Here is a 15,891-nt window from a genome sequence, read left to right as displayed (position 1 = left end):
GAAGAAGGCTTGGACTTTCCTGAATAGAAAGGAACCCATGAGGCTGGTGCAATCCCTCCCTCTTCCTACCTTGAACCCAGATATATTGCCTAGGGCTGTAGCAGCCATTTAGGGGCCTTGAGGAAAAGACAAGAAAACAGCAGAGATGTCAGTCCTAACAACCCTGCATCACTAATCCAATGCCAGCAACTCCAAGAGGTACTGGAATTCCTGACATGTAAAAAATAAACAAATGAATACCTTTCTGCTTAGGCTGCTGAAGTAGGGCTGTTTCTTGAAGCCAGATGCAATCCTAACAGATACAAGGTAAGAGATAGATGTCAAAATCCTGAAGACTAGACTCAAATGACTGAGGGGCAAAACAGCTGGGGAAAGGGCAGGCTTTGAGTCAACCTGCTGGGTTTGAATACCGTGTCCACTCCTTGCTAGTGACATGATCCTGCGCATGTTTAACTGTGTCACAGATTCCCCATTTAAAATAAAAAGTCATTACAGCAACCACCCAGCATGACTGTGGGCCTGAAACAAGTTATGTGCAGAGAGGGCTGGGCATACCACACAACACAGAGTGACCTCAACGCATGTTATTTTATTTATAAAATCAACTCCTGGAGGTTCCGTCTCTCAGCTTTGGAGCCCCCCACCCTCTGTCTCTGTACAGGGGACCTTCTTCCTTCTCCCTTCCTTCTTGCCTATTAAACTCTCCACTCCTTAAAACCACTCCACGTGTGTCTGTGTCATTTTATCTAAACCGGCATGAGGACCAAGAACCCTGGTGTTCCCCCACTCATCGGAGCCGTATCATTTTGGTGTGTTGGCCAGGAAAGGAAATTATTTCATCAGACTGAAGCAATCAAACTCAAAATGGTGCTGTAACCTGAAGCACACATGGACACGCCATTCTTCCGAGGACCCTTAGATCCACCCCAGGAGGAGCCCTAGCTGCTGTTCCCCATTCAACGCCCCTTTTCACCAGGAAGTAGCCAGAAGAAGTCGTCGCCCAAAACCCCCTAACAGCAGTTAATGTGGCATCTCCACAGGGGGTAATGTAGGAGTTAAGCAATTATTTTAGGCAAATAGAGAGGAAAAGGGGTCCTTGGGAAATGTTTGGTTTTTAAAGCAACTCCGGAAAAGTTTCTTGTAAAGCCCCGGCTCTTAGAGCCAGGCCAGCAACCTTTGATATGCAAATGCAAGCCATTAGAAACTGGGTCCACCCAAACATGGCGATTCCCACAGCCTTCTTGCCCTTTCCCCACATGTTCCTAGCAACATGGCCGCCACCACACCTCCCCAAGTGTGCAGATCATGGTACCCTGCATTTGCATATTAAAAGGCTAGGTGGGAGGGCCAGCTTTTTCATGCGCTACGTGAAAGACATGCCTAGTCAAACCAATCCCCTGAGGCCTATGCAAATCAGACACTGCCTCTTCCAGCCTCTGTACATATACCTAGCTGCTATCTGTGGCAGCTGGGGTTCCCTCTCTCAGCTTTGGAGCCCTCCTCCGTCTCTATACAGGGGATCTTATTCTCCCTTCTTTCTTGCCCCTTCTTGCCTATTAAACTCTCTGCTCCTTTAAATAAACAAACAAACTCTTACCAAAGTCACACAAGCAAGATGGGGATAAGGCAGACTAGAAGTGATTAGTCATTGGTTCTTTCCAACACTTGAGAAGGAGTTGTCTTTAGGGACTGAGTTGAAGGCCAGGTATAATGGCTCACACCTGTAATCCCAACACTTTCGGAGGCCGAGGCAAGAAGATGGCTTGAGCTCAGGGGTTTGAAACCAACCTGGACAACACAGGGAGACCTCATCTGTACAAATTAAAATATATATATAATTTTAAAGAAATAATTGTGTTGTAAATATCCCTGTCTTAGAGCTAATGCCTAAGCAAGGAGGGGGGAAAGAAAGCTGCCAAGGCTTCCCACAGGATCCAAGTCCTACAGGCCCAATTCTCAGCCTCCTTCTGGTTCTTTTTCTCTTCCCTACTCTTTGACTCCAGCCACAGTGGCCTTCCTCATTAAGCCAGTGCTTCTGCACATGCATTTCCCACTGCCCAGAACATTCTTACCTTCTGCTTTTGCCTATACAGCAGAAACTGCTAGCTGCGCTCCAGTATCAACTCTCCCTCATCCCTGAGTAACATCTTCAGCTGGGTACATCCTGCTTAGAAAGGAAACTACATTTCCCAGCCTCCTTTGCAGCTAGAGGCACCACATGACTAGGTACAAGCCAATGGGATGTGACGAGGAGAGACGTAGGCAACCTCCAGGTTGTGCCCTTACTCTGCTTTCCTACTGGCTGCCATGTGGACATGGAGATGCATCATCTTGATCCATGCAGATGAGGACAGCAGAGCAACAAGATGGGAGGGGCCTGGGACCCTGATTATTTTGGGGACAGAGCTGCCACACCAGCTGGGATTTTTACATGAGAGAGAAATGAGCTTGTATCTTAACCCACTATATTTGGGGTCTTTGACACACATAGCCAAACCTGTATCATCAAACGGGTTCCCCACTTAAGGAGTCTCCTTTTTTCTCTCCAACCAGATGAAACCCCGCTATTGCACTCACCGGGCACCACGCAGCTCCCCTTCATAGCACTTCCTGATGATTATTCATTTATTTGGCCATTTCCCCAACAAGACTGGGGCTCAAGGAAGGCAGGGAACCATGCTCTGTATACCGCTCGATTCCCAGCATGGAGCCCAGGTAAGGGCTATGCAGGACCCTCAGAGACTGTCACCTGAATGGGACCAGTCAGGCCATGGGACCCATTCATGGGCACTGACCCTCGGAGATTCTACCTCCTGCAAAGAGCTCCTGAGAGGGTCTAAGATACCCACTCACCCAAGTCTTGCCTCGAATTTCCCCAGGACCTACCTGTACACAGAGGTTTAAAAAAAAAAAAGACTATGGGCTGGGAGCAGTGGCTCAAGCCTGTAATCTCAGCACTTTGGGAGGCAGAGGCAGGGGGGATCACCTGAGGTCAGGAGTTTGAGACCAGCCTGGCCAACATGGCAAAACCCGTCTCTACTAAAAATACAAAAAGTAGCCGGGCGTGGTGGCACATGCCTGTAATCCCAGCTACTCGGGGGGCTGAGGCAGGAGAATCACTCGAACCCTGGCAAAGGAGGTTGCAGTGAGCCGAGATCACGCTACTGCACTCCAGTCTGGGCAACAAGACAGAAACTCTCTTAAAAAGAAAAAAAAAAAAAAAAAAGACTGACCAGCTGCCTAAAGAGGAAACAATTATCAGCAATTACTCAGATCCATGTTACATTTCATCTGCAATTAAATATCAATTAACAAAAATGCATCATAATCAAGATGCACCAGCCCACGCAAACAAAAAAATAAAGACTATATGTTTTGTTTTGTTTTTCTGAGACAGAGTCTTGCTCTGTTGCCCAGGCTGGAGTGCAGTGCCATCATCTTGGCTCTCTACAACCTCCTCCTCCCAGGTTCAAGTGATCCTTATGCCTCCCCCTTCCCAGTAGCTGGGATTATAGGCAAGCGCCACCACAGTTAATTTTTGTATTTTTAGTAGAGATGGAGTTTCACCATGTTGGACAGCCTGGCCTTGAACTACTGACCTCAAGTGATCTGCCCACCTCGGCCTCTCAACGTACTGAGATTACAGGTGTGAGCCACCACACCTGGCTGACTGTTTTCAATACAAAAAAAAAAAAGAAAAAATATTAGCTGGGCATGGTGGTGGGCACCTGTGGTCCCAGCTACTCCAGAGGCTAAGGTGGGAGGATTGCTTGAGCCTGAGAGGTCATGGCTGCAGTGGGCCATGATCGTGCCCCTGCACTCCACCCTGAGCAACAGAGGAGATCCTGTCTCAAAATACACATATATATGTTTTTGTAGAATCCCGTTCTTGTTCTTAAAAAATACCATGTATTTATGGCTGGGCACGGTGGCTTAGACCTGTAATCCCAGCACTTTGGGAGGCTGCGGCAGGTGGATCACTTGAGGTCATGAGTTTGAGACCAGCCTGGCCAAAATGGTAAAACCCCATCTCTACTAAAAATACAAAAATTAGCTAGACATAGTGGTGCATGCCTGCAGTCCTAGCTACTCGGCAGGTGAAGGCTGCAGTGAGCAGAGATCACGCCACCTGCACTCCAGCCTGGGTAATAGAGCAAGACTCTGTCTCAAAAAAAAAAATTACTATATCTTTAGGATCTGTGGAGAAGAGAGGCTGAAAATTAAAAACATCAACCTGCCAATAAGATTGTCTCTAGAAGAGGCTGGCCATGGTGGCTCACCCCGGTAATCCCAGGACTTTGGGAGGCCGAGGTAGGCGGATCACCTGAGGTCAGGAATTCGAGACCAGCCTGGCTAACACAGCAAACCCTGTCTCTACTAAAAATACAAAAATTAGCCGGGCATGGTGGTGCATGGTACACACCTATAACCCCAGCTACTCGGGAGGCTGAGGCAGGAGAATCACTTGAACTTGGGAGGTGGAGGTTGCCGTGAGCCGAGATCACTGTACTCCAGACTGGGCAATGGAGCAAGACTCCGTCTCAAAAAAATAATAAAAGAAAATTATCTCTAGAAGGGATTTTCATGTTTCACTCATTTCTGCACTGTTTTCATTCTATACTGTACCCCTTATAACATCAGACAAGACAAAGAGTAGGAGAAAAGACGTCCCTTTAAGTAATTCAATCTCTACCATGTTTATAGTAACAGAAAACCTGGAACTTCCAAAATATGTATATGTCAGCAGTTCTCAGAGTTGTGATAGTCTGGCTTCACACAAATGCTATGATTTAGGTAGTTAAACAAGTTTTTTTTTTGTTGTTTTTTTTTTTTTTGGAGACAGTGCCATGCTGTTGTCCAGGCTGGAGTGCAGTGGTGCAATCATAGCTCACTGCAGCTCAACCTCCCAGGACCAAGCAAACCTCCCGCCTCAGCCTCCTGAGTAGCTGGGACTACAGGCATGTCCCATCATGCCCAGCTAATAATAATAATAATAATTATTATTATTATTATTTTGTAGAGATGGGGTCTTTCTGTTGCCCAGGCTGGTCTCAAACTCCTGGGCTCAAGTGATCCTCCCACTTCAGCATCACTAAGTGCTGGGATCAGACGACAGCAACAGTGCCCAGTCCAAGTTTTCTTAAACCTAAACTACAAATAAAACTGCAGAATGAATCTCCCCACATATCAGTCCAATTTCAGAGCTGAAACCTGATACCCATCTTGTCCAAGAGACTCACCCAGACCTGGCCACCCTACAGACAGATGCTCTATAACAACAGGGTGAATTAACCTGAATCGTCTATACTGATTTTCAAACCTAGGCTCCTGAACTTGGCCTCTTCACCCAGCATACACCTCCCTGGCTTTCTCTGGAGCTACAACATCTCTTCACCCCAGCCTCCTCCACCCCATCCCCATGGCCCTTTGGAGAATATAGAGGGTGTGACTCAGAGGTGAGCCTTTTCTCCAAACACTCCCCTACCAAGTATGCAGAGAACTGGACATAGGCCAGCTTTGTCCCAAGTACCAAGCGTCAAACGGCTCACTCCACGGATCTCAGGGGGCAGGGGACCAAAGTTAAAGATGAAAGAGCCCTATTAAACCACTGCAGGCCAGGCACAGTGGTGCCCACCTGTAATCCCAGCACTTTGGAAGGCTGAGGCAGGAGAACTGCTTGAGGCCAGAAGTTTAAGGCTGCAGTGAGCTATGTTCATGCCACTGCACTCCAGCCTGGGTGACAGGGCAAGACCTCATCTCTAAAAAAAATTAAAAATTAGCTGGGCATGTTGACAAGCATCTATAATCCAAGACACTCGGGAGGGTAAGGCAGGAAGATCGCTTGAGGCCAGGAGTTCAAGGCTGCAGTGAGCCATGATCATACCACTGCACTCCAGCCTGGGCAACAGAGTGAGTCTCTGTCTCTAAAAAAAAAAAAAAAAGAGAGAGAGAAAAGCAAACTACAATTGCAGCACTCAGAGAGATCCTGATCTAACATGCGATCCTGGGTTAGTAAATTAGTGAAGCCTTATCAAAGGGCTCGCAGATAAGCCAACCTAATTATAACTACTGGGTTACCCTTCCCAGTGCCAGACAGCTCCAATTTTCTTCCTGGCCACGGGTCTCCAGCCTTACAAGGCTGATGGAGGAACCCTAGAAAAGCCTGACTTTTTTTTTTTTTTTTAAGATAAAGTCTCTCTGTCACCCAGGCTGGAGTGCAGTGGCACAATCTCAGTTCACTGCAACCTCCGCCTCCTGGGTTCAAGCAATTCTCCCGCCTCAGCCTCCCGAGTAACTGAGATTACAGGTGCCTGCCACCACGCCAGCTAATTTTTGTATTTTTAGTAGAGATGGGGTTTCACCATGTTGGTCATGCTGGTCTCCAACTCCTGACCTCGTGATCCGCCCACCTCGGCCTCCCAAAGTGCTAGGATTACAGTCGTGAGCCACCGCGCCCTGCTGTGCCTGACATTAACATGCACCATCGTCCACTCTGAATAATAACCACAGCAGTAAGTAACCTTAGACCCTGCTAGAACGGTGAGCTGGGCCAGCTCACTTTTAGAAAATAAGACAATGGCTAGAGTGAAGCCTTTTCAGATGTTATTCATTCCACTCCTGAGAACATCATCTAAGGAAATAAGCCAATACGCACTCTACCCATGTGGTATTCAGGACAGTGTTTTCTTTAAAAGAAAAATAAAAATGACTGGGTATGGTGGCTCTCGCCTGTAATCCCAGCACGTTGGGAGGCAGATCACCTGAGGTCAGGAGTTCGAGACCAGCCTGGCCAACATGGTGAAACCCCATCTCTACTGAAAATACAAAAATTAATCAGGCATCATGGTACACATGTGTAATCCCAGCTACTCCAGCGGCTGAGGCAGGAGAATCACCTGAACCCAGGAGGCAGAGGTCACAGGGAGCCAAGATTGCGCAATGCACTCCAGCCTGGGTGATGGTATAAGATGCTGTCTCAAAAAAGTTAAAAAGGGAGAAAGGGGCTGGGCACAGTGGCTCATGCCTGTAATCCCAGCACTTTGGGAGGCCGAAGTGGGCAGATCACAAGGTCAGGAGATCAAGACCATCCTGGCTAACACGGTGAAACTCCGTCTCTACTAAAAACACAAAAAAATTAGCCAGGCGTGGTGGCAGGTGCCTGTAGTCCCAGCTACTTGGGAGGCTGAGGCAGGAGAATGGCGTGAACCTGGGAGGCGGAGCTTGCAGTGAGCCAAGGTCGCACCACTGCACTTCAGCCTGGGCGACAGAACAAGACTCCGTCTCAAAAATAATAATAAAAAAAAAAAAGGAGAAAGAAAACACAGCAACCCAAATGTCAAACCACAGATAATAATTATGTGATTATAGCCCACCAACACAGGGAACTATCGATTGGACATTTATAGGTTTAATTAAAAAGGTTACGTGGGTACATGGGAAAATACTTATTACAGTAAATAAAAACATAGGAGACAGTATGCAAGCTACAAATGCAACCTTGCAAAACTACATACTAGTAAGAACAAGACTCAAATGTTAATATGCCAATAGGAAAACAATAGCCTGTAACAAAATATTTATACAATACAGGTGATGGACAAAGAGGAAAGGTCCCACAATAACAAGAGCCCTTACAAACTAACAGGAAAAAGACAAACTAGTCCAGGCATACCCAAAAAGGACTCAGAAAGACACACTGAAAATACACAAATTGCTGGAAAATATGTTGCAGGATACATAGCTTCTAATTGTAATTGAAATGCAGATGAAAATATATTTTAGCTATCAAATTAACAAACTTTGATCCCAGCACTTTGGGAGGCCAAAGCCGGAGGATCGATTCAGTCCAGGGGTTCAAAACCAGCCTGGGTAACATAGGGAGATCCTGTCTCTACAAAAAATAAATTTAAAAATTAAAAAAAAAAAACTGGCAGAGTAATGATTACAACATAATCCATTTTGATTTAAATGTTATTTAAATTTATAAATATTTATAAAATTTCAAAGAAAAAATACAAGAATACATTGGTTATTGGTTAGCCCAAGAGATTACTGATATGGTCTGGCTCTGTGTCCCCACCTAAATCCCATCTTGAATTGTAATCTGAATTGGAATCCCCACATATTAGGGAAGGGACATCATGGGAGGTGATTAGATCATGGGGACGGTTCCCCCATGCTGTTCTCCTGATCCTTGCTATGCTTTAGCAAAGAGACTGGCAGCATTTTGACCCTGCCCTAGAGATCTGTGGAACTTTGAACTTGAGAGAGAAGATTTAGGGCATCTAGGGGAAGAAATTACTAAGCAGCAAAGCATTCAAGAGGAAGCAGAGCATAAAAGGGTGGAAATTGGCCGGGCGCAGTGGCTCACGCCTGTAATCCCAGCACTTTGGGAGGCCAAGGTGGGCAGATCACTTGAGGTCAGGAATTCGAGACCAGTCTAGCCAGCATGGTGAAATCCTGTCTCTACAAAAATACAAACATTAGCCAGGCATGATGGCGGGTGCCTGTAATCCCAGCTACTCGGGATGCTGAGGCAGGAGAATTGCTTGAACCCAGGAGGCAGAGGTTGCAATGAGCCGAGATCATGCCATTGCACTCTAGCCTGGGCAACAGAGAGAGACTCCATCTCAAAAAAAAAAAAAGTGTGGAAATTTGCAGTCTGACAATGTAAAAAGAAAAACCCATTTTCTGAAGAGAAATTCAAGCCGGCTGCAGAAACTTGCAAAAGTAACAAGGAGCCCAATTCCAAGACAATGGGGAAAATGTCTCCAGGGCATATCACAAACCTTCACAGCAGCCCCTCCCATCACAGGCCTAGGAGGGAAAAACGGTTTCCTGGGCTGGGTCCAGGGCCCCCCTGATGTGTGCAGCCTTAGGACTTGGTGCCCAGCCACTCCAGTCATGGCTAAGAGGAGCCAAGGTACACAGCTCAGGCTGTGCCTTCAGAGGGTGCAAGCCCCAAGCCTCGGCAGCTTCCATGTGGTATTGAGCCTGTGGGTACATAGAACTAAAGAACTGAGGTTTGGAAACCTCCACCTAGATTTCAGAGGATGTATGCAAATGCCTGGATGTCCAGCCAGAAGTTTGCTGCAGGGGTGGAGCCTTTATGGAGAACCTCTACCAATGCAGTAAAGAAGGGAAATATGGGGTCAGAGCCCCCACACAGAGTCCCCACTGGGGTACTGCCTAATGGAGCTGTGAGAAAAGGGCCACCATCCAGAACCCAGAATGGTAGATCCACCTGCAGCTACATCGTGTGCCTGGAAAAGACGGAGACACTCAACGCCAACCTGTGAAAGCAGCCAGGAGCGGGGCTATACCCTGCAAAGCCACAGGGGCAGAGCTGCCCAAGGCCGTGGAAGCCCACCTCTTGCAACAGTGTGACCTGGATGTGAGACACGGAGTCAAAGGAGATAACTATGGAACTTGAAAGTTTTATGACTGGCCTATTGGATTTCAGACTTGCATGGGGCCTGCAGCCCCTTTGTTTTGGCCAATTTCTCCCATTTCAAACGGGTGTATTTATCCAATGCCTGTACCCCCATTGTATCTAGGAACTAACTAACTTCTTTTGATTTTACAGGCTGATAGGTGAAAGAGACTAGATTTTGTCTCAGATGAGATTTTGGACATAGACTTTTGAGTTAATGCTGAAATGAGTTAAGACTTTGGGGAACTGTTGGGAAGGCATAATTGTGTTTTGAAATATGAGAAAGATGAGATTTGGGAGGGGCCAGGGGCAGAATGATATGGCACGGCTCTGTGTCCCCGCACAAATCTCATCTTGAATTGTAATCTTAATTGTAATCCCCACGTGTTGGTGGAGGGACCTCACTGGAGGTGATTAGATCATGGGAGCGGTTCCCCCATGCTGTTCTCCTGATAGTGAGTCCTCAGAAGATCTGATGGTTTTATACCGGCTTTTCTCCTCTTTACTCTGCACTTCTGTCTCCTGCCACCATGTGAAGAAGGACATGTTTGCTTTCCTTTCCACCATCATTTTAAGTTTCCTGAGGCCTCCCCAGCCATGCAGAACTGTGAGTCAATTAAACCTCTTTCCTTTATAAACTACGCAGTCTCAGGTATTTTTTCATAGCAGCATGAACAAACTAATATCAGTACCATGTTCAGGCTTTATTTAAATATCTTTGTATTGTTTGTTCTGTCATATGGAACACATGTCACTTGTGATCAGAAAACTCTGCAATTAAATTAGTTTAGGTGTAAAAATCAGAGTGACATTAGCATGGTGAGACTATCAGTAATGTTTTTACACATTGTTAAATTATTGATTTAAAAGCAATTTTTAAAATAAGTCCAAAGATGTTTAAAATTTAAACACATCTTTTAAAAAACTGAACAAAACCAAAGCACACTTCTGCTTTGATCTCCTGACCTCTGGAAAGTAAGGTTTAACTTAACTGGGCAAAGCCCTCTCACACACAGCCAAGCAACATGGGCCTGATCACTTCCCAGCTTGCTCAATTTTTCTGATATGGCAGGAAAACAACAGGTGCTTAATAAGTGCTGGTGGGCCCATTAGTGGGAGTATAAACTGCTGCAGTAACCTGACAATTAACTATCAAATTTCAAAATGCACATACTGTCAACCTAGCAATTTCCTGTGGGAAAATTTATTCTGCTGAATCATTTACATATATTTGCATACATGTGCCTTCAGTGCAGCACTGCTTATCACAGCAAGAAACCAGGAACTGGGAATGACCTTGATAGACACCAAGAGGGGAATGGGTGAATACATGGCTCAGCCATTTAACAGGCAAATGCGTGGCTTGTTTAAAAAAAAAAAAAAAAAAAAGTTGATTTGATTGGCTTTTACTTTCAATTTGCATGGGCTTAAAATGGCAAGAAAATCAACACTGGTTAAGTGAAGAGAACAAGAGACAAAACAGTATTTAAAATACCCAACTAGGGAGGGAAAAAATGAATATGTAAACATATACACACAAACGAACACGTTCTTGCACATACATTTGCATATACTTGAAACTTTTCTCGAAAAACACCCAAGAAACTATCATCAACAACCATCATCAATAACGGCTACTTCTGGGAACAAAGGGCAGGGTGGGAACATACTAAAACTTTTATTTTTCCCTTTATATTCTTCTAGAATATTCACCTTAAAGTATTAGCATCATCAACAAAGTTGCAGTACAAGATCTTCCTCCTGCAATCAGCCAGATCAATTCAACAACATCTTGTTTTAAAACAAGAGTTTTCTAGCAACCTATAGAAAGTCCTCTTAACCACAGGAAAAAAGTACCTCATCATCTTACGAACAAGCCTTTGGCGGAGAATCAAAGGCAACTGGGGAGTGGGGAAACCCAAGTTGGTCTTGATCACAAACGTTTCAGTTAAGGTTCTGAGAAAGAGAAGAGACTCATAAAACAAAATAAACTGAATTTTTAAGACCTGAGATTCAGCAGGGCGTAGTGCCTCATGCCTGTAATCCCAGCACATGGAAGGGCCAAGGTGGGTGGATTGCTTGAGCCCAGGAGTTCGAGACCAGCCTGAGCAGCATAGCAAGACCCCCATCTATTTTAAAAAAAAAAAAAAAAAAAAAAAACCTGCGTTTCATTCAAACATAAACAGATCAGAAGGTTCTTGCTTCTGCCAGGGACCATGCATTGTTCTACTTCCTTGCTGAGCTGGTAAGCGCCTTCCCTGGAAATTCCAGGACCACAAGCCATTGTGTTAGTGCTTTATGCATTTTGCCGAATGCTCCAGGCTAGATTTTTATGAGATGGGCTCTGCAGTTCCTTTGAGTTAAACTCCTCAATACTTTAACCACACCATGATCTTCCTCAAGGCCTATGCACATTCTCTTCCCACTCTGGGACTCCCTTCCCCCACATCCTTGCATGGCCAGCTTTGCCACTGAGCTCTGGGGTCAAACCTCACCGCCTCCGAAAGGCCTTCTGTGGACATCCCTCCGTAGTAGTTTGCACCTCACCCAGTTTTTCCCGGTTCAAGTCTTTGCAGCACTTGCCAGCATCTGAAATCATTTCCGTCACCCTCAGTGTAAACCCCATGAGAACATGGGCCTGGTCTGTCCTGTTCACTGTTGTATCCTCAGTGCCTAGAGCAGCAGCAGCACATAGTAGCTGCTCAATTAATAATGACTGAATAAATGAATGAATGAAAAGCAGTGTGGGAAGAACAATACAATGAACCCAGGGGTATCAAAGACCACACGAGGCTGGGCGTGGTGGCTCACACCTGTAATCCCAGCACTCTGGGAGACTGCTTGAGCTCAAGAGTTCAAGACCAAACTGGGCAACATAGTGAAACCCCATCTCTACAAAAAAAAATACAAAAATTAGCCGGGTGTGCTGGTGCATGCCTGTAGTCCCAGCTACTTGGGAGGGTGAGTTGGGAGGGTCACTTGGCCTGGGAGGTCGAGACTGCAGTGCAGTGGTACAATCAGCTAGGGCGACAGAACAAGACTCCATCCATCAATCAGTCAAACACCACACAAATTTCTTGTACTGGGAAGACTTAGACATCACACATATTCTCCAAACAAGTATTACCTAGGAGGCCAGTAAAAGGTACACTGAGGTTCCTCAGAGAGAAAACTCACAGAGAGGAAGATAAAAGCTCCATAAAAATCTCAATTACTACTTGAGGGTTACAGGATGCTAGCCTAGAGCCTCCCTCCCTAGACAGGTTTCTCAGAGAGAAAACTCACAGAGAGGAAGAGAAAACCTCCATAAAAATCTCAATTCCTGAGGGTTACAGGATGCTAGCCTAGGGGCACCCTCCCTGGTCATTAACACCCACTTTCCAGAACCTGGCAACCTCCCCAGGAGATGAATCCCACAGTTAAACTAAGGGGACACTTAAGTGGAATCTCAACTTTGTAATCGTCCACTTCTCCTGGGGCACTTTAAAATGAAGGAGTAGAGCTTCAAAGCTGATCTCTCAAGAAAGCCATTTTCGGCTGGGCATGGTGGCTCACGCCTGTAATCCCAGCACTTTGGGAGGCCGAGGCAGGAGGATCGCTTGAGCCCAGGAGTTTGAGACAAGCCTGGGCAACATGGTGAGACCCTGACTCTACAAAAAATACAAAAATTAGCCGGGTATGGTGGTGTGCACCTCTGGTCCCAGCTACCTGGGAGGCTAAGGTGGGAAGATAGCTTCAGCCCAGGAGGTCGAGGCTGCAGTGAGCTATGATTGTGCCACTGCACTCCAGCCTGGGTGACAGAGGGAGACCCTGTCTCAAAAGAAAAAAGAAAGAAAAAGAAAAAGAAAGCCATTTTTGTTTTCCCAGGGGAGAATGAACTGTCACAACTCCAACTGGGAAAATGGAAAAAGGTAAAAAGACACAGCCCTCAGTAAAAAAGAAACTGCCGCAAGTTTCTTCTCTAGCTAATTGGAGTTTAACCTCCTTAACGTCTCATTAAGCTTCTCCAAGGCAACCCCAGTAAGCCAATTACACTAGAATTTCGACAGCCCACAACCTCCTAGGGAAATGCAGGATGAGGAGGAAGGTCTTGCTCCATGTTTCTCCCCCATATTCCTCCACACCAGTGGCTGTGTGATTTCACACCCCAGGGAACATATGGAAACATCTAGAGGCATTTTCGGTTGTCACAACAAGAGGAGGTGCTACCAGCATCTACTAGGGGGTAGAGGCCAGGTTTGGGGCTAAGACTACGCTGCACAGAACAGCAACCAGGCCACAAAGAATGATGTGGCCTACATGTCAACGGGGCCGACACTGAGCAACTGTGCTCCATGTCCCCACCCGCAAAATACAGCTTCCTCAAAGGCCCCGTTCAACCATTCAGCCTCTAAGAGGTAAGTGCAGGTCCCCAGCACCACTCCACCCACAGGGATGCTGCCCTATCCCAGTTTTCTTGCTAAGCGGGGGGAAGCTTGCCTCAGGATGTCTGGCCATTAATTAATTTTGGCAAAATGTTTGGGCAAGTTTTCACGAGCTAGAGTTGTACTGACCACACTAAGAGCTGATCATCAAAGCTAGGCCTTACTTCGCCATGAAAATCTGAAGCCAACATACCAATCAGATGCTAACTTCAAGGTTGGCCTGCAAAGCAGGAGATGCCAACTCAGATACCAACAGGTGCCAAAGTGGGTTCCATCCATGCAAGAAGCAGACCAGGTGTGAGGAAGCACAATTTTAAAAAGGCAACAGGCCAGGCACGGTGGCTCATGCCTGTAATCCCAGCACTTTGGGAGGCTGAGGAACTCAAGTGATCCACTTGAGTTCAGGAATTCAAGACCAGCCTGGCCAATATGGAGAAACCCCATCTCTACTAAAAATACAAAAATAAGCCGAGTGTGGTGGTGCGGGCCTGTAATCCCAGCTACTCGGGAAGCTGAGGCAGCAGAATCACTGGAACCCGGGAGGCAGAGGTTGCAGTGAGCCGAGATTCCACTACTGCACTCCAGCCTGGGTGACAGAGCGAGACTTCGTCTCAAAAAAATAATATAAAATAAAACAAAGGCAACAAACATTTGGCCTTAAAATTAAAGCAACAACAGGGAGGGGTGGGGACTGCGGCAAACTGGAGCAACTCAGAAACGGACAGCCTCAGCGGACCGCTACCATGTATAAATGTGGGCCTGGGGCTAGCAGAACTTCTGATTTTTCAAGGGAAGCCAGAAATCCAGATGTTTCTGTGAAATCTGCCAATGAATAAACATTGTAGGGCGGGCCACAGTGGCTCATGCCTGTAATCCCAGCACTTTAGGAGGCCGAGGCGGGCGGATCACGAGGTCAAGAGATCGAGGCCATGCTGGCCAACATACTGGAAACCCCGTTTCTATCAAAAACACAAAAATTAGCTGGATGTGGTGGCGTGCCCCTGTAGTCCCAGCTACTGGGGAGGCTGAGGCAGAATTGCTTGAACCCAGGAGGCAGAGGTTGCAGTGAGCCAAGATCGTGCCACTGCACTCCAGCCTGGCAACAGAGCAAGACTCCGTCTCAAATAAATAAATAAATAAAATTGGAAATCACAGTCATTCCTATAATTAAAATCAAGCCAAACCAGCACAGTGGTGAGCTATATCTAACCCCTAGCTTGGAACTCATACCTCAAACACTCAAATTCTAATGTTGATTGAGCCCCCACTGTGTGTGAGACACTGAGTCCTGGGAAAAGAGGGGTGGACAAAACCCTGTTCTGACCTTTCCAAGATGAAATAGAAGCTGTTCTGCCAAGCACGGTGGCTCACACCTATAATCCCAGCACTTTGGGAGGCCAAGGCAGGCAGATCGCCTGAGTTCAGGAGTTCACCACCAACCTGAGCAACATGGCAAAACCCTATCTCTACAAAAAAAAAAAAAAAAAAAATTAGCTGGGCATGGTGGTGTGTGCCTGTAGTCCCAGCTACCTGGGGAGCTGAAGTGGGAGAATTGCTTGAGCTCAGGAGGTTGAGGCTGCAGTGAGCTGAGGTCGCGCCACTGCACTCCAGCCTGGGTGACAGAGCAAGACCCTGTCTCAAAAAAATAAAATAAAAAAACAAGCCATCTGATGAGAAAGCTGGAGGACTCAGTTTATCTGAGTGTTCATTCCAGACAGTTAAGTGATTATTTCATCCTTAAAATCCTTACAAAGAAGTTTCGACACCGCCCAAAAGCCACTGTAATACTTCATGTCATTCATTTATTCAACAAACAGCTGACCCTTGAACAACACACATTTAAACTGCACGGGTCCACTTATACTCAGATTATGCTTCTGCCTCTGCCATCCCTGAGATAGCAAGACCAACCCCTCCCCTTCCTCCTCCTCCTTAGCCTCCTCAACGTGAAGACAATGAAGATGAAGACCTTTATGATGATCCACTTCCACTTAATAAATAGTAAAAATCTCTCTTATGAATTAATCTTAACAT

The 15,891-nt window shown here is 46.2% G+C and overlaps 1 protein-coding gene across 25 annotated transcripts in view, besides 5 other annotated features; it reads right to left on the bottom strand.

The window, feature by feature from the left end:
• The window catches only part of ABCC1 (ATP binding cassette subfamily C member 1 (ABCC1 blood group)), a 193,911-nt gene that overhangs the window by 170,460 nt on the left and 7,560 nt on the right, over positions 1 to 15,891 (bottom strand). For 8 of the 25 annotated variants that reach the window (XM_047434131.1, XM_047434136.1, XM_047434144.1 and 5 more), the window contains exon 1: positions 241 to 1,844. The exons of the other annotated variants lie outside the window; for them this stretch is intronic. In XM_047434131.1, coding sequence (XP_047290087.1) covers positions 241 to 447 — 207 coding nt within the window. In that variant the 5' untranslated portion in view covers positions 448 to 1,844. Of the gene's footprint in view, positions 1 to 240; positions 1,845 to 15,891 lie in introns of those variants that run through there. 25 annotated transcript variants of the gene reach the window in all.
• Positions 501 to 1,140: an enhancer, noted in NCBI's record as "OCT4-NANOG-H3K27ac hESC enhancer chr16:16065311-16065950 (GRCh37/hg19 assembly coordinates)". NCBI's record gives its function as "activates a minimal SCP1, AML or CMV promoter by ChIP-STARR-seq in naive H9 embryonic stem cells {active_cell/tissue: H9 hESC(naive)}" and the evidence as "EXISTENCE:reporter gene assay evidence [ECO:0000049][PMID:30033119]".
• Positions 1,141 to 1,779: an enhancer, noted in NCBI's record as "OCT4-NANOG-H3K27ac hESC enhancer chr16:16064672-16065310 (GRCh37/hg19 assembly coordinates)". NCBI's record gives its function as "activates a minimal SCP1, AML or CMV promoter by ChIP-STARR-seq in primed H9 embryonic stem cells {active_cell/tissue: H9 hESC(primed)}" and the evidence as "EXISTENCE:reporter gene assay evidence [ECO:0000049][PMID:30033119]".
• Positions 1,780 to 2,419: an enhancer, noted in NCBI's record as "H3K27ac hESC enhancer chr16:16064032-16064671 (GRCh37/hg19 assembly coordinates)". NCBI's record gives its function as "activates a minimal SCP1, AML or CMV promoter by ChIP-STARR-seq in primed H9 embryonic stem cells {active_cell/tissue: H9 hESC(primed)}" and the evidence as "EXISTENCE:reporter gene assay evidence [ECO:0000049][PMID:30033119]".
• Positions 13,408 to 13,908: an enhancer, noted in NCBI's record as "H3K27ac hESC enhancer chr16:16052543-16053043 (GRCh37/hg19 assembly coordinates)". NCBI's record gives its function as "activates a minimal SCP1, AML or CMV promoter by ChIP-STARR-seq in primed H9 embryonic stem cells {active_cell/tissue: H9 hESC(primed)}" and the evidence as "EXISTENCE:reporter gene assay evidence [ECO:0000049][PMID:30033119]".
• Positions 13,909 to 14,409: an enhancer, noted in NCBI's record as "H3K27ac hESC enhancer chr16:16052042-16052542 (GRCh37/hg19 assembly coordinates)". NCBI's record gives its function as "activates a minimal SCP1, AML or CMV promoter by ChIP-STARR-seq in primed H9 embryonic stem cells {active_cell/tissue: H9 hESC(primed)}" and the evidence as "EXISTENCE:reporter gene assay evidence [ECO:0000049][PMID:30033119]".

This window comes from Homo sapiens, chromosome 16 (assembly GCF_000001405.40).
Source record: "Homo sapiens chromosome 16, GRCh38.p14 Primary Assembly".
In the NCBI taxonomy this organism is placed as follows: Eukaryota; Metazoa; Chordata; class Mammalia; order Primates; family Hominidae; genus Homo; species Homo sapiens.
This window is presented reverse-complemented; position numbering and strand designations above follow the sequence as displayed.